Source organism: Homo sapiens, chromosome 6 (genome assembly GCF_000001405.40).
Source record: "Homo sapiens chromosome 6, GRCh38.p14 Primary Assembly".
NCBI lineage: Eukaryota > Metazoa > Chordata > Mammalia > Primates > Hominidae > Homo > Homo sapiens.
This window is the reverse complement of record NC_000006.12, coordinates 46,001,731-46,019,020: the sequence shown is the minus strand read 5'-3', so window position 1 is coordinate 46,019,020 and position 17,290 is coordinate 46,001,731. Positions and strand designations below refer to the sequence as shown.

Below are 17,290 nucleotides of genomic sequence, written 5' to 3'. Positions count from 1 at the left end.
GTTTTTCTCAGGCTACTTAGAGTTTACTATATCAAGTAAAGTATATAAACCTTACAACTGTATAAATTCCTTGCCCTTTACCCTTTATGCTGCAGTGGTCATATTATTGAATCTAAATATATTAAAAATGCTATCAGATATGTTATAGTTTTCACTTTCAACAGTCATACAAAAATATGAATGTCACACAGATTTGCATGTCACCCTTTCATTGGAGCCATGCCAATCTTCTCTGTATGGTTTCCATTTTAGAATATGTGCTGCCAAAGTGAGCACTAAATGTGTTTTTAAAGTACTTTCCTGGTAAAAATTTATTCAAAACTTGCACCACATTTGTGAAACTATGGGCTGGAATTAGACATATAGTGTTTTTCTCCAGACAAAGCTAGAATTGACTCTAACCAATTATTCTTTAACATTAAAGGGTACAAAGTAAAGTCCTTTTATCTTGAGCTAAGGCATAATATGAAATTGAAAATGGAAAATATGCACAGAAATAGTTTATGACCAAAGAAGAATTATTTTTTTTGCAGCATGAAGCTTTATAATATCAAAACTATAAGTTATCTGCAGGGATGTCCAAATGGGAGATATTTCCTATAAAATGTTATTGAAAGAGATCTGTCCAAATTTACAATAGCAGTAGATATTTGGAGAAGATAAAATGAAAGTTAACTCTGATAGGTTTGGGATTAAGGAAAGAGAAGTCATACCACACATTGTTTAGATCATAGCCAAGGAAATGATCGAAAATACGTGTAACACATTTTTCATTAAAACAAAAAACAAAAAACCAAAACCCTCGAAGACATTTTATGCATATAATTTTATTTGCTACTGCCACATTGCCATTAAGAATATTGCCTACACTTCAGTGCAGGGATGTTCTGAGTCTGTGCATCATGCAGCGAAGGCACCAGTCTCCCTCTGTAACCTTGGTCCTTCCCTAAAGTATGTAGTCATTGGTGCAGAATGTACAGCTGTGAAGGTGACTGTTTCTCTAAAGGCTTTGGTGATGTAAGCCTGAAGCCAAGCAGGAGGAAAGCAATTAAACATCACCTTGATTAAGTTATAATGTACCAAGAGAGTTGCACGTTGGGCTTGGTGACTGCTTTCTTCAGGAAGGAGGAATTTGCACTGAGAGTCTGTGGGGACACAGCCTGCCATAAAGGGTAGTGAGGACATCTTTCCCTTTTCTTTGCCTATCAGATGCCTGACCTTTCAGGAAGGTTCAGCTAAAGTGCCTTTTGCTCCATGAAGCCTTTTCCTCTCCTCACCCCAACCATGGTAAATAGTATCTTTACGTGACAGCTTGTATAGCTCCTTCATCTTCCCAATTCATGTGGCAGCCTTAGTTTTCATTTCATGTAACTATTATTCTGAAAGGGATTTTGATCTCTGTTAAGACCGTTAAAACCATGCCTTTGTTTCCTCAAAGTGTGCACTTCCATAGTGTGCACTAAGAAAAGCAGTTTGTAGAGCAGTTGAGAGGACAGGCTCAAGTCTGTCTGGGTTTAAATCCTGACTTCACCATTTCCTAGCTGAATGACTAGGGATAAGTTACTTAAATACTTCATGTCTCAGTTTCCCCACTTGTAAAATTGGGATCATTATACTATTTGTAAATATTATACAAGTTCACACATGTAAAGTGCTCAACATTTTTGCCTAGCACATAATAAGTATTATTACTTATTTTTTTATTAAGCGATAAATTTTTTAATAAAGCTATTAAACAAATACATGTTTTTAGTAAGGAAGGACATAGCACAAACAGGATTAATTAAAGAGAAGGCAAAGAAGACAAAGAGAATTCCACCAGATTCTGGTGCAAAACATTCAATAATTATTTTTTAAAGAACTGAAGGGTGGGAATGTCTGTTGGTGCAACCACTTTAGAAAACCTATGGCAGTGTTTACACAAGGAGAGCATTCTTATACACTACAACTCAGCAAGTCCACTCCTAAGTATACATCCAAGAGAAAAGTGTCTGTGAATCCAACCAAAAGATGTTTGATAGAGAGAATGTTCGTGACAGAGTAGTCATGATAGTCACCTGCACAAATGTCCATTGACAGAAGAATGAATAAGTAAGTGTGTCGGTGAAAATGGATGATACACAACTACACATAGCACAATGGATGAATCTCACAAACATAGTAATGAGCGAAAGAAGCCAGACACCAACATTCCAGGCAAAAAGATCCTATGCTGCTACAAGCCAGAATAATGGTTACCCTGGGACAGTGGAGACGGGAGAAAAGATGTGGAGAGGAGAGAGCAGGAGGAGCTTCTAGGGCTGTGGCTAACATTTTATTCTTCATCTGGCGCTCGTTACATGGGTGGGTTGGATTGTGAAAATTCATTGAGGCATACACCTAAGATATGTGCATCTTTTCTGTGTTTGCATCCTACTTCACTAAAACAACCAGAAGAGAACGGGAATGAAGTAAGATCAGAAAATAAAGGAAGAAATAGAAAGAAAATGAAAGAAGGGAGAAGAAAAATAAACAAACCCAGAAGGCTGAAAGGCATGGAAGCCGCACCTGACCGGGTTGACTCACCCCTCTGCCCCAGGAGCCACCCCTGCCCTGCCCTGCCCGTCCCCAGCACCCTACTCTCCTTTTGCTTAGCCCAAGGATGGCAAATGCCCCTTTTGGTGGGGGTTCTGAGCATCACTAAGACAGGAAGGGCTTTCCAAGTGGGTAAGGCTGGTAGTGGAGTAACTCGGAGGAGCTGACGCTTTATTAAAGAAACAGAAGACTTGAGAGCCATCTCCTCTCTTCCTTCCCCTTCCCCTTTCCCCTTCCTCTTCCCCTTCCCCTTTCCCCTTCCTCTTCCCCTTCCCCTTTCCCCTTCCTCTTCCCCTTCCCCTTTCCCCTTCCTCTTCCCCTTCCCCTTTCCCCTTCCTCTTCCCCTTCCCCTTCTCCTCGACTCTTTCTGCCTTCGCCTCATTATCCGCCCCCAGGACATCCTCTTGGCCTTGGTGGCTTTGCCAGGACCAGCTCTGTCTCCGCCTCCTGCCCTGCGGGGTCTTGGGGCGGGGGGCCGTGGCCCGGCCCAGGCCCGAGCTGCCGGGGTGTCCCCGCCGCGTCCCCGCCCGGCTGACCCCGCCCTGCAGCCGCCGGCTATTTTGGGCGCGTTGGCGGCGGCGGGATCGCTGACAGTCGCGGATCCTGTGACACCTCCGGGCAGCCCGGCACTTGTTGCTCCCACGACCTGTTGTCATTCCCTTAACCCGGCTTTCCCCGTGGCCCCCCGCCTCCTCCCGGCTTCGCTCCTTTTCATGTGAGCATCTGGGACACTGATCTCTCAGACCCCGCTGCTCGGGCTGGAGAATAGATGGTTTTGTGAAAAATTAAACACCGCCCTGAAGAGGAGCCCCGCTGGGCAGCGGCAGGAGCGCAGAGTGCTGGCCCAGGTGCTGCAGAGGTGGCGCCTCCCCGGCCCGGGACGGTAGCCCCGGGCGCCAACGGCATGACAGACTCGGCGACAGCTAACGGGGACGACAGGGACCCCGAGATCGAGCTCTTTGTGAAGGTAGGTCGGGGTCCAGTCTCCCGCCGCACCTGCCGCGCCTCCCGCCGGGCTCACCCACCAGGGCTCGGGGTGCGCTGGACTCCGGACCCTCCCAGGAGGGCGGCGCGGAGCCCTGTGCTCCCCCGTGGCCTTTCCGCAGGCCAGCGCCCCGCTGCGAGGCTCCTGGGCGGAATGGAGGAAGGCAGGTTCCGGCAGGTGGCCGTCTTCTCGGAGAGTTGATCCGCAGTTTGTCCACCCCCGTCCCCGCCTCCGCTGTCACCGCTGCGAGTCCGAGTCCAGAGCCCAGCCCGGACGCGATTCAGGCTGGTCCTGAAAGACGTCTCCAGGTGTCGGGATGCGGCAGAAACCTGGCTGGACCCGTGAACCTTTCCTTTAAAACGGGAGGAGGGGGAGGAATGGGAGAGAAACGTTATTGACACAATGATCTTTGGCAAAGCGAAAATGACATTTCTTAAAATTCTCTTTCTCTCTTTCGCTCAGAGATCCTAAAATAAAAGCCAAGGAGACAAAAGTGTTTTCTTGCTTGGTGACTTGCAAAGCAGAAAACAAGCACTCCATTCTCCGACGTTATTATTTTTGTCATAATCATGATTTTTCAAGGCAGTATCAAGGAAATGTTAGGCGTTTGGTAGTAGGGAGAGCCTCCCGTTCAACCTGATGCAGACAGGGATGAAGGAGCACAGTGCAAATTAAATGAAGTCACCTTGCTCCTTGGACAGAAACTGCCTAATGTCAGAGCTGCTGTACTTTATTTGCAACCTGTAGGAGGAAGGATGGAGGCGAGGCTGCGGCGGCGTTTCCCGGTCCGCCGGTGTAAGGAGAAAGAAACATTTGATCAGCCCTTGGTGCCGACGCTGCAGAAGTAGGGAAACCTGAGGCTGCGGGAGAGTAGCCTCCAGGGCTGAGCAGAAACAGTCGCCAGGACTTGGGGGAGGGGAAGTCGGGGACTGCCTGGGCGCCAAGACCTTTCACAAAGGGGGAAAACTCTCTCAGTGCAAAGTTTCCCTAGAAATATGCAGATCGCTGAGAAGGGAAGAGTCACTGGTGCCTGTCAGGGGCCTCCTGGCAGAATTTAAAAGGCATAAATATTCCCTGGAATTGGGAAAATGTTATTTTGCCCAAAAGATCCTTCTCTACAAGCTAATTAAATAGATGTTTGCAAAAAGTATGAGATCTACATAAACCTTGATAACAATCTGTGGTCTTTGGTACTTTCTGACTCTTAAAATGTGACTTACTTTACACTTGGTACGTGATCTGTCTCCGTTGTCCCAGCCTACCACAAAGGTTTGTTAAATTTCTTCTGCTGGGTTTTACATTCTTTGTGTTTATTTTTCAAGCTTACACCTGACATTTAGTGACACTTGCTTTCTTCAGCCTGTTCTCTTCCCACTGTGGCCCCTGTGTGCTCCTTTGGTTTCTGGGACTCCCCCCACCCCCACCCCAGGCTGGATTTCCAGGTCCTTTGGCAGACCCAGGTAATAAAGGAGGTCATTTCTCGTCTGATGCTGGGTAGTGTTGGACCTTAGGGCAGCAAGGGGGTGTTCTGAACCCCAGCATCCAGGCCTGGGCCCTAGGGGTGAATAGGGAGAGCTTTAACAAAGCGATGAGTCTTGCTGCTCTCCTTGAAGAAAGCGATTCTAGGACTTACTCAGATTCCTTGAGAGTGGTAGTTTCAAGGTGTCAAGTTTCTGAAAGATATTTGAAACACAAATAGGTTCTTTAGAACCAAAGGAGCCCTTTGCCCCACTCCTAGGTGTGGAGACCGATTCTACCTGCACCTTTGGAATTTTCTTGTTGGCAGTGTTGGAGAGTCTCTCCATTTATATAAAAACCTTACTGCACAATTTGCAGCGTTCCCCAAATAATTCTAAAATGACTGTGTTGTCATTTGTTTTTTCCCTAAAGGAAATCAATGAGAGCCAGGCAGGCCTTCATGGCTAGCTCAAAAACCAGATTGATGGGGAGATCAAAACATCAGGTATGAAAGTTGTTTTGACTCCTCCCTCAACCCCATCTTTTTGAGCTTCAGGTTAGCAGTTCTCATTTACAAGTAAATGGGACAAGTAAAGGCTAGAAATATTGTGAAATAAAGATGCTGCCCAGGCCTTACTTGAACTGTGTCATTTGAGGGAAGCAATATCCTTGTTGACAGAATCACACTTTTCCAAAGTTTGGAGTTTCTCTGAGGTACATGATTCCCCATAAAAAGAAAGGCCTTCTTGTTGATGGTGTCAGGTAACTGAAGCTCTTTCTGCAGGGCAGGGTGGGTTGGTTTCTATGAAGACTTCCAAGAAGGATGGGTCCCACCCAGTTATAGTCATGACTTGGTCATTTTCAACACCCCCTTGGAAGGACCTCCCAACCTCTTGTTTCCACTGGGTGTACCACTCTAAATCACAGTCACCTAATGAGTTTCACAATGACATGTAATTGTAATTGTCTCCCACGTCAATTGATAGTCATTATCTGTTACTACTACTGCTGATAATGATAATGATAAGAAGAAGGAAAGATTGCAGCATATTAGGACATAATAAGTATGTTCAAATACCTTATCTCATTTGATCATCAGCAACTTTATAAGGCTTGATTCACTTATGTGAAAGATAAAGAAAACAAATAAACTGGATTCACAGGTACCTTATGAGACTCGCTGTCAGAGCACTTGATGAGCTGCAGTTTGCTCTTCTTGTAACAGCCCAGGGAACTAAGAATGATAATTCCTCCTGTTCTGTTGAACAATACATGTGCTCACAGAAAGTAGGTAAAATGCCCAAAGGTAGATGGCAGATAGCATTCAGATCCAGTCCTCAAATCTAGCAGTTTAGACTTTGAATTTCTTGCTCTTTTCCAAATACCTATATGTCAGGCCTGATACCTTATTTTGCCAAGTTAGGCTTTCAAGTGCCATCATGGTGACATTTATTTATGTTATTAATCCATTCTAATGTGTTCATAGAATGCTTCCAAGGAGACTAACCCATTTCTGCTATGTACTCCGAGTCTTTCCCTTTCGGGGAACATTCTGACAGTGACTTTTAAGAGATTATTTCCCCACATTTTTAGTTTCTACAATAAGAAATGTTAGATCATGTCAACTCTGATTCTAATGTCCCATAATACCTGTGGATGGCGCAGGGATTTGGAGATGCAGTACCTGAGTTCAAGTCTTGCCTCTGCCTCTAATTAGCTAAATGATCCTGAACAAATTATTTAACTTTCAGGAGCCTCACTGGCCCTCTTAAAACAAGAGCATGGTTATAAATAAGGAGACCATATAATTTATTGTCCAAATCTAGACACTTTTGAGAGTGAAAGGGAATGATATCAATAATTAGGCTGGAACCACAGGTATAACCCAGGATAGTTTGGGAGCAAATAAGGATGTGTGGTCATTCTGGTTATGAAAATACTGTCATTGTAGATTTGCTGTGAGGATTCCATGGGAGAACATAGGTGAAAACACTTTGTAAATTGAAAATTGCTGTAAACACACTGACTTGAATATTATGAGTCCCATGGCAGACTGAACCTTTCTGGACCTGCACGTCCCTGATTTGCCTTGGGGAACAAAGGCCTGGCTCCTTCCTCACTTGCAGGGATATTTTGAGAGTAAATGAGATAATATGTAGCTTGGACTTTGATCCTAAGAGGAGGACAACAGGCTAGAGGTAATGGCAGTGAGTGTGGTTTATTGAAAGAAATAGAGCAAGGAAGTAAAAGCAAAACAGAAAGCAATTTGAAAAGACAAACACAGGATGTGCTGTGTAGGTTAGATCAAGGCATTCCACCCATTTGCATTGCTTCCTCCACTCCCAGTCTCACCCCTGGACCCCAGAAGTGACTAATGATACAGACAAGCTCGCCGCAAGTGTCTCTTCAGCCAGGAACTGAGGTTTCAACAGAAACCAGTGGTTCTCAGCCTTCACTACCTATTCAATCCATTGAGAGAGATTTTAAAACTTCTGATGGCAGTTTGCTCCCCAAGCCGATTACATCAGTGTGTCTGTGGGTGGGACCCTGAAACAATATTTTCATATCCACTCTCAGGTGGCTCCAGCGTGCAGCCCTGGTGGAGAGCCACTGAGTCATAATCAGAGGCAGGTCCAATAGCAGGCAGCTTCTGCCACCGCTGACATAGGTGGCCTTGCTAATGCTGATTAAATGTCCAGAACTTCTAACAGCCTCAGGGCATCACGGTCAGAAGTGTTGTTGATAGAAAGCTTGCATCCAATCACTGCCCAGTTAACAGATGCTGACGAACTATTAAGCCCTATCCACAGGACTCCAGAACAATCGTGTATAGGGTTGGTCTAGTCAAAGAATCATCAATTCAGCATGGGGGAAGTAAAACAGAGTTCTGCTAATTGTCTGATGGAAACGACTAGTCTTTCATTTATTGAGTGGCCCAAAAGTTTCTGAGTGGTGCAGGGTGCAATACAAGTTGTGGTGACTCGTGGTGTGGTCATCTGACTTCCAGAACAGATAGGATCAGATCTTGTGGTGTCGCCTCTATGTCCCTGAGCTACTGTGACTGCCTGGTCACCTTGGGCCGCTTGCCTAAGCATGAGCTCACTAGGTTTTTAAAGTTCCCTTCATCATATTAAGCTACTGTGTTTTTCTTTCCCACTATCTTCAGGTTTTGATCTGTAGTCAATAACGCAATACACAAATTTGCCTGCCCTGCTATGGCAGTGAGTGCTTCTTCTCCTGGTAACACATCCCTGGAGAGCTAGCGTCAAGAGTTGTATGATGCATATTTGAAGTGCCATGGCAGGGTGGTGGGAATGAGGACTGGGTCTGCAGAAGCTGACGTCCACTGCCAGTGTTGAGAGCTCCTGCATCCCTGATGACTTGTGTTGTCTCTTTGGGCATTTATTGGCCCCCTCCATGCAAGACAAAGCGTCTGTCAATTTAGACAGTCAGTTAGGTCAAAAACTTCTCATTCTTGGTTCCCTTTGAGTTGTCAGCTGCTGGCCCCATGTTAGTGGTGGCAAGAGATGTGGTGGAAGAGTGAAACTTTGGTGTCAGGCTCGGGTTCACCAGTGTGTTGGCCAGGATGGGCTGCTTGACCTCTCTGGACCACAGATTTTTTTTTTGTTTTAACCAGTGCAGTGCTAATAGCAGCAGCACATCTTTCATGGAGTTGGTGTCAGCATTTCAAGCTGAGTATGGATCTGGCCTATTAGTAAGTCTTTCTCTGTAGGCTCCATGTAGCCCAATAAGTAAAAGTAAAGCCCTTGGGCTTCCCTCCCTTGATGTGTACAAGAAGTCAGAGGCTCAGTCCTACCAGCTGAATCTCACATCTCAGAACCAAGATACTTCTTGAAAGAAAATGTAAGTTTCCAAAGCAGGTCGTCATTCAGGGAACTGGAAGAGAAATGTTCCCGATTGTTGGAGCTGACCCCTGAGAACACAAGCAGTGAGTCTCATTGCTGCAGACCAATGGCAACTGAAGTACAGTGCAACCACCACTGGATCTGACTGCCTCTGACTGGACTGCTGCTCCATAAGCTGGAGCCCACTAGAGCCCATGTCTGGAGTAATGTGGTTGGACTGACTACAGGGTAACTGCAGATCCCTGACCCACTGGGTTCTTCAAACTCAGGGGAAGTTGATTCCTCCTGTCAGTTGCTCCCTCATCCAAGAAAGCTCCTACATAACTGCTTCCCCAAGGCTCCTGGTAGCCAGGCCAGGGTAAAGGATCCTCTTTATTTTCAAGAGGATCCCTGGTTCTCTTTGCAGATTTTACTACCCCTTCCTCAACAATCTTCCAGCTATGCATAGCCATAGGTGCTCTCATCAAATATACTCACACATGCACACGTATTATCTACCAGGATTATGGGGAAAATGTCGTAGGCTCTCACTCTCTGGTATCTATTAAAAAACTATTACCCAGAACACATCCTGAGTTGTATCTGTTGTCAAGACTGGAGGAACTAGAGATAGTAAAGATGCAAAGTGGTTAAGCATGAGTTTCCTAAGATGTAGTTCTGTAAAGGACTCTCTCTACCCAGGGTGTCTTAAATCTAACACTGCTTGTGTTCTGAGGGGTCAGCTCCCACAGTCAGGGACATTTCTCTTCCAGTTCGCTAAATGACAACCTGCTTTGGAAACGTGTCTTTTCTTTCAAGAAAGAAGTATCTAAGTTCTGAGATGTGAAATTCTTTAAGGACAAATAAGATAAATAGCCTACTGTCTGAACTGAAACGAATTCTTCCCTGTAAAAAGAAATGGAGTTGTTAACTTCTAGAAGTTCTTTTAGCTCTGCTGGCATGGGAAGAGTCTTTAAGGGGGATTCAAAGACTCTTCCCATGCCAGCAGCACTGGAGGTAAACCATGGGTAGGCTGGTGGTTCTCAGCCTTTGGGGCATGAAAGAGTCACTGCACTTGCCTTCTTCACTTGTACCTGCCCAGGTCCTGTCTATAGAGTTTCAGATTTAGGAGGGTGGGGTGAGGCCCAGGCATCTGTATGCTTAAGAAGCTACCCACTGGTGATTCTGAAGCCCATCAAAGACTGAGAACCACTGGTGCAAACCATGGGTAAATAGGGCTGAACTACTCAGTGGAGCATCAAAAGGACAAAATATGGTCCAGTCGCTACTTCAAACAAGCATTTCACAGGATGGAGGTAGCCAAGGCAATATGCTGGTTCACATGAATCACTCCAGATTGACCTCAAATAAACCAGAAAAGGGAGGAAAGAAATGCTTTTGACCTTTCTTTTGTAATTTTTCTTTTCTTCCTTTGTATATTTTTTATTATATAGGAGTGACACATAATTTTAAATGGCAATGCATGAAGGAGATAGTAAGATAAAGAATGTAGGGAGTTGGGGATAAAATATAATCAATCAATCAATATATGAAAATGCTTACAGAGCACCTACTCTGTGCCAGGCTCTGTGAAAGCTGAAGGGGGCTGGGGGAGATCAGAGAAGAAGACAGGCTCCAGTAGCTTGTGAGAGTGCCACTGAGGAGTGCAATGCAAACAAGCATCAGTGGCACATGAGTGACAGGAATGCAATGAGTCATGCATATGATGGGACCAGTGTGGCCCAAATGGTGTCTTCAGGCCCAGCTTTGGGTAGGGTGGGACCTGAGTTGAGTCTTGAAGAATGATCAGGATTCAGAGGTGGCCAAAAGTGAGCAACCATGTCAGGTCCAGCAAAGGTGTGGAGATGGGGATGCTCAGGGCTTATGAGTACACGGGGTTGTCTGAAGCAAGTGGTATATGAAAGGAGCAATTGGAAATAGGACAGCAAAAAAGCCAACAACAGTGGCAGGAGGGGGCCTTGAATGGGAGGTAAGTGGTATCTGCTCCCTTGTAAGTAGTGGGGAGTAACTGGAAGTGTCTACACACAATAGGAGATTGACTTGGGTTATGTTTAGAAAGATTGATAGCTGGACTTCGTGCTTTAGTGGGAAAATCAATGAACTCAAAGTATGATGGATACCCTAAAAGTCCTGACTTGATCACTGCACAATCTATGCATGTAACAAAATTGCTCATGTACCCCATAAATTTGTGCAAATGAAAATCGGGAAAAAAAAAAAAAGAAAAAGAAAAAAAACAGGAAAAAACAAACAAACAAAAGAAAGAAGATCTGGATTCCAGGTCTGCCACGCACTGGTTGCGTGACTTGCTTTAAGGGTAAGTTTTTTTTTTCTATAAAATGTGATCAACATTCATAAAACCATAGAATTTATTATTTGGAAAAGCTTCCAGAAGTCATCCAGTCTGACCTTCTCTGATGAGATAAGTTCCCAATCTAACACTTTGGGATATACGCTATGTGGGTTTAAGGAAGAGTAGTGAGATAAAATGTGAGCTGCTGCTGTTTTTGCCATTGCTATTACGGCTGCATTCACTGTGACCATGTTGGAATAAGGAGAGCCCTGAGGCAGAAGTCAGTGAGGAGGCTATCCCAGTGGTCCCATCAGGAGGCCAAGTGAGTCCAAACAAGGGCCAAAAGACAGAGTGTGTTGTGGAATACAGAAGTGAATACAAAATTAGGTGCATGCCTTGGAAGAAGCCTGTGCAAATAGTGTATATTAGGGGCACCAACACCGAAGACTCAGCAGTTTCCTGGTACATTCACCCCTGGAAAGGTTAGTGTCCACATCTAGAATGGTGATATCTTTGATGGGCTTGACCATTACTGTCTAAGATATTGTAAATTGAAGAGTACAGACAAACTAATTGAGCTTTAAGTTTCCTTTTAACTCTGAAGAAAGCCTATGTATCCTGTGAGGAAGGGAGTTGCTGTTCATTAAAATCGTTTGATTTGGAATGGTGTAATCTGAAGTGCTGGCAGGCCAGTCCTGTGCAGATGTTCCTTAGAATGCTGAAGGATCAGAGCTGAGGATCACAGGGGCTCAGGGCTAGGGATTTTATCTGAACTTCTGCTCAGAGCTACAGGTGACGGAGGAGGTTCCCCAGAGGAGGGAGCATGGAGAAGAAGTACAGAAATAAGGACTTGCTTTAAAAAATGTCTTTTGGGGCTGGGCATGGTGGCTCATGACTGTAATCTCAGCACTTTGGGAGGCCGAGGCAGGGGGATCATGTCAGGGGATCGAGACCATCCTGGCCAACATGGTGAAACGCCGTCTCTAGCAAAATACAAAAAAATTAGCCGGGTGTGGTGGCACCCACCTATAGCCCCAGCTACTTAGGAGACTGAGGCAGGGGAATCGCTTGAACCCGGGAGGTGGATGTTGCAGAGGGCTGAGTTTGCACCACTGTACTCCAGCCTGGTGACAGAGCAAGACTGTCTCAAAAAAAAAAAAAAAGGAAAAAAAAGAAATATCATTTGAGAGGGAGGAATGAGGCACGTGAGGAGTTAGCCAAGGTGATCAAGGAATAAGAGGTAGGAAATAAATGCAATGTCCTAGGCAAAGGAAATCATGTGAACAATGGCTCAGAAGCAAGACAAGCCCGGATGTGTCCCAGAAAACTCAGAGCTCTGCTTGGCTGTGCTGAAGAGGGTGTGAATGGATATTGGGAAGGCAGATAAAAATGTAAGTTAGGGGCCAGGCGCAGTGGCTCACATCTGTAATCCCAGCACTTTGGGAGGCTGAGGTGGGCAGATCATGAGGTCAAGAGTTCGAGACCAGCCTGGCCAATATGGTGAAACCCCGTCTCTACTAAAGATACAAAAAATTAGCTGGACATGGTGGCGCATGCCTGTAATCCCAGCTACTCAGGAAGTTGAGGCAGGAGAATTGCTTGAACCAAGGAGGCGGAGGCTGCAGTGGGCCAAGATTGCGCCATTGCACTCCAGGCTGGGCGATAGGGCAAGATTCCATCTAAATATATATATATATATATATATATATATATATATGTATTTATACATGTGTATATATATATATATATATGTATTTATACATGTGTATATATATATTTATACATGTATATATATATTTATACATGTATATATATTTATACATGTGTGTATATATATATATATAAATATATATATATATATATACACACATAGGCTCTGTCCTAATCTCTTTGAGCTGCTATGACAAAATGCCATGAACTAGGTAGCTTATAAACAACAGAAATTTATTTCTCACAGTTCTGGAGGCTGGGGAGTCTATCAGTGCACCAATAGATTTGGTGTCTGGTGAGGGCCACAATGTGGTTCATAGCTGTCACCTTCTCACTGGGTTCTCACATTGTGGAGGAGGATAACTCTATTCTCTTCAGCCCCTCATGAGAACACTAATCCCATTTGTGAGGGCTCCACCCTCATGACCTAATCACCTCCCAAAGCCTCCACCTGCTAATGCCAACACCTCAGAGATGAAATTTTAGCATAGGAATTCTGGGGGGACACAAACATTCAGATCTAGCAGATCAGATCATGAAGCATCTCTGATGGCAAGCTGGGGGATCCAGACTTTTGTTTATAAAGTGGAAGACTGCTGTGCCCCTACCTGCCTGTGGAGCAATTGTAGTTTAAAAGAGGGAAGTGCTTAATTATCTAAACATGGTGCATTTGGCCCTGCATCTGAGGCAGGGTGTTTTGGCGTGGGAGGCCTTTGCAGCACGTCTCTGGTTACCCACAGGCTTTGGTGTGTAGAAGTTTTGTGCCAGTTACCCCATATCCTATATCAACCTCTATGGACTTCAGGGTGATGGTTTCTTTTCCACTTTTGTTTAACGTTATTCTATGGTAAGAGGGAAAAGAAACAAGTGTCCGACTGGAGAAATAACACAAAAGGGGAAGGAGGGGAGGATGTGCAGTGAATGGAGTCCAACTGGGAACCCATTACCTAGAATAGAGACGAAGTAACACCATGTCCCAGTTATTCTCTTAAACATCCAATTTGGGAGATTGTCATGGCAACAGATAGAGGTTTCTTGATCCAGCCCAAGGCTCCTCTCCTGTCAATGTCCACGTCTGCTTCCTAATGCTGCCAGTGTGCATGGGCCCCGTCAACACCAAGGATGAAGACGAGGGGCCGTCTCACCTGCCTTTTATTCATTTACACATTTGCTCTCTGTGGCATTTTATAGTTATAGCATAAAATCTAGAGACAGCAGTGTCTTTAGAATTTGCCCCTGAAACCAAAGGAGCCATATGTCCTTGGCCCTTTGTCACAAATGACTCAGGTTTTACTTGTGGAATTGAAGGTTCTGGGCAGGGCTTCCCCACAGGCTCTGGGAGAGGGGAGCTGTGTAGGGAAAGTTATGTGGCCTTTCCTCATTCAGGTACTTTGTGAATATAACAGGGATCTGATCTGTGTGGCAGGATTATTATTATGAAGTCAAATAAGATAAGAAACATGAACCCCTTTTGCAAACTACAGTCTTCACTGTTCAGATGTCAGGCACTGCCTTGGTCGGTATAGGTCAACTGCTGAAACAACAACCTACCAACTTTTTCACACAGTAGCTCAATGCAGTGTTTAGTGAGTGGTCTCCCCCACTTGGACTCCCTCCACCCTGTAGTTCTGCCACCCTGCGGGACGGCCAACTCCTTTGCTGGGCTCTCTACAGTCAGCCAGCACAGGGAAGATTGAAGTTGGAGGACATCATGGTAGGTTTGCATGGTCGAATCACTTCCACCCACTTTCCATAGTCCAGAGCTCAATCCTGTGGCTGTTCCTCTGTGCAAGGGAAGCTGGGAAGTGTCATCTAACTGTGCTGCAAGGACAGAGAGGAAGCAGGTTTGGAGCTAGTCTCTACCGTAGAAACTAAGTTATGTATTCTTGTTTCCTACTACAAACTGGCATCCCACCTGCAGCCTCTCTCACCTCCTGTTGACCATGCTTAATACTGTCCACTTAATCTTCCTAAAGAAGAACCTTCTCCTGTATGACATCGATTCCCCATCTGCTAGATCAACTTCAACTGCTTCCACCTGATACTGAAACTATTCTTGCATTCCTTTTCCCAGCGTTATTTCCCATATTCTGTTAAAATGGTTCCTTGTGTGTACATACAGTTTTTTGAAGCATTTTTGGGTCTCTTATCCTTTGAGGAAGGAAGATAGTTAATCCTCTCATATACCAGGTGATTTGTCAGGGGCTGCATGATGGGTTGCTCTATACAAACTTAGAAACCTGGAGATCCGGACTCCAGACCTGACCACTCTCCACCAGAACAGGGTTTCCCAGCCTTGCACAGGCATGAGAACCACCTGGGGCATTTTCCAAACTCCAGCCCAAATGTGTGAATCAGAGTCTTCAGGGAAGGAGGTCCCAGATACCTGTAATTTAACAAGTGCTGCAGGTGATTCTTGTGCCCAGTCTGGTTAAGGGAACACTGCCCTTAACCTAACCAGGCCCCATGGGAGTATCCAAAACCCACAGGGGTGAGTCTAACAGTGGAAATTTAAAGCCCTGTGACATTCAAATGTAGGAGAGATTTGGTAGGCGAGTGGTCTTCTACTGCTCTCAGGTCACCCCAAGGTATATAACATCTCAGTCATTTTATATAGTGACCTTTAGACTTAGGATCTGCTCCATGGCCCGTGGAATTATAAAAACAGTTGCAGCCTTGTTTATTGTTTTGTTGTTGGTGTTGTTGTTGTTTTTGCAAAGGTATTTATCCCCATCCTCAAAGTATAAGGTTCTTGAAGAGGAAAATGTTGGGAAAGAGATAGCGGGGATGGAAGAGGGAAAAGGGTAGGTGAGACAGAGGATCACTGAAGTGGCTTATGATACAGAAAAACCAGTCTTCACACCTCAGTCCTCTTTGGTCCCATGAGTGGTGTCTTTGCATTTTCAAAATCAGAGAATCAGTTTGGAAATTGAATAATAGCAACAGTGGCTAACTGCTATTCTGAACACCTTAGTTTCGCTGATTCCTTGAATTCCATGGAGTAGGTCTTGGTACTATTCCCAATTTACAGATGAGGAAACTGAAGGTCAGACTGAGTCCCATCTGGATAAATGCACAAAGCTAGGACATTGTAGAGCCTGGCTTCAAACTTCATCCCCTGACATCAGAATTTGTGCTCTCTCCTGCCTCATTTTACCCAGCCCCTTGTAGCTTAATGAGGAGAAATTGCTGCGCTAAATCAGAAGGCATTTTCCCAATGGCGAGCAAGAGGGAGATGACCAAGGTTTTGCCTTTCCTTAATTCTCCATAGGTGGCAATGAATAGTCCAAGGTCAAGGTCAGATCCCAACACTTAGACAAGAAAGCAGGGCAATTACCAGATTGGGTGAGTTAGAGCAGCCTAAAGACGCACCTGTTCTCAAGTCTCCTACCCACTTCTCTGCCATAGTGACATGAACTCCCATTCTTTGATCAACCCCTTTGGCTTAAGGAATGTTTCTTAGACGTCCTTTTAAAAATATACATATGCTACTTGTAATGGGCTACCTATGGATGCAGTAGCCCCAGCTGACACATTATCTGGGATTACTTTATCAGGTCAGTAGGCAGAGGGAAGAGGACCAGAAGGAAGTGGGTAAGAGAGACCAGGAGTATTGCATGCCACTGGGAAAAAAAAGTGTACCTGTTGTGCATTGTGGGTGTGGCCACCAAGAGCAGATTTTGTCCCCTGGCCAGTTTGCCCAAGATGTGGCATTGGCCCAAGTTCCTCAGTCAGGATTCTAGAGTAAGCTCTGAAAATCATCTTTGCAAGGATGAAGCCACTGACTTGAGAGAAATCTTACATCTATTCCAGTCGGCTCTTCTTCCATTCTAAGACCTAGAGTCATTTACAGATATGTATGGCAGAGTCCAACAACAACAACAACAAAAAAAATTACAGACTATTCACTAGGCACTATAAATGTGAGATATAACAATAAATCTAAAGAAATTTACAATATCGTCCATGGAATTTGATGGATTCCATCGAGTCCTCGCAGGATTCTAGCAGCTTCATTCCTCCTTGAGGCCCAGACAAGTTAGGCTGTTATAATGCCACATAGAAGACTGAAAGCAGAGGTGAGAATAAAGCTGCTGCTGATTGAGTTTACTCCCTGGTGTGGGGGGTGGGGGTGGTCCAGCCTCACTGCTAGGACTTTCTGAGTCTTTCTGAGACACTTGCCATGGTCAAGGGTAGCAGGATCAGGGAAGGCATTATAATAAATATAATTTGCAGAGCATCTCTCTCCTATGCACCAGATATTGTGGTGACACTCTGTTTAATCCAGTATCCCTACTCCTTTAGATATATTGTGATTGTTTTACATGCGAAATCTGGCTTCAGAAAGGTTAGGTGTTTTGCTCAAGGTCCCATGGAAAGTGGCAGAGTTGGGGTTTCTGACTA

At 44.9% G+C, this 17,290-nt stretch overlaps 1 protein-coding gene and 1 pseudogene across 11 annotated transcripts in view, besides 4 other annotated features; one reads left to right on the top strand and one right to left on the bottom strand.

Annotated features, from left to right (window-relative positions):
• Window positions 1-17,290, top strand: part of CLIC5 (chloride intracellular channel 5) — a 248,993-nt gene that overhangs the window by 110,799 nt on the left and 120,904 nt on the right. For 5 of the 11 annotated variants that reach the window (XR_007059275.1, XM_047418896.1, NM_016929.5 and 2 more), the window contains exon 1: window positions 3,161-3,541. The exons of the other annotated variants lie outside the window; for them this stretch is intronic. Coding sequence is in view for 4 of the 5 variants with exons in the window: in XM_047418896.1 (XP_047274852.1) it covers window positions 3,479-3,541 (63 nt within the window). In the remaining variant the exon portion in view is untranslated. Of the gene's footprint in view, window positions 1-3,160; window positions 3,542-17,290 lie in introns of those variants that run through there. 11 annotated transcript variants of the gene reach the window in all.
• On the bottom strand, window positions 170-276 carry RNU6-754P (RNA, U6 small nuclear 754, pseudogene; annotated as a pseudogene).
• Window positions 2,359-3,203: an enhancer, noted in NCBI's record as "H3K4me1 hESC enhancer chr6:45983555-45984399 (GRCh37/hg19 assembly coordinates)". NCBI's record gives its function as "activates a minimal SCP1, AML or CMV promoter by ChIP-STARR-seq in naive H9 embryonic stem cells {active_cell/tissue: H9 hESC(naive)}" and the evidence as "EXISTENCE:reporter gene assay evidence [ECO:0000049][PMID:30033119]".
• Window positions 3,204-4,048: an enhancer, noted in NCBI's record as "H3K4me1 hESC enhancer chr6:45982710-45983554 (GRCh37/hg19 assembly coordinates)". NCBI's record gives its function as "activates a minimal SCP1, AML or CMV promoter by ChIP-STARR-seq in naive and primed H9 embryonic stem cells {active_cell/tissue: H9 hESC(naive and primed)}" and the evidence as "EXISTENCE:reporter gene assay evidence [ECO:0000049][PMID:30033119]".
• Window positions 3,461-3,510: a silencer, noted in NCBI's record as "silent region_17268". NCBI's record gives its function as "represses an Ori minimal core promoter by ATAC-STARR-seq in GM12878 lymphoblastoid cells {active_cell/tissue: GM12878}" and the evidence as "EXISTENCE:reporter gene assay evidence [ECO:0000049][PMID:35858748]".
• Window positions 7,477-7,526: an enhancer, noted in NCBI's record as "active region_24648". NCBI's record gives its function as "activates an Ori minimal core promoter by ATAC-STARR-seq in GM12878 lymphoblastoid cells {active_cell/tissue: GM12878}" and the evidence as "EXISTENCE:reporter gene assay evidence [ECO:0000049][PMID:35858748]".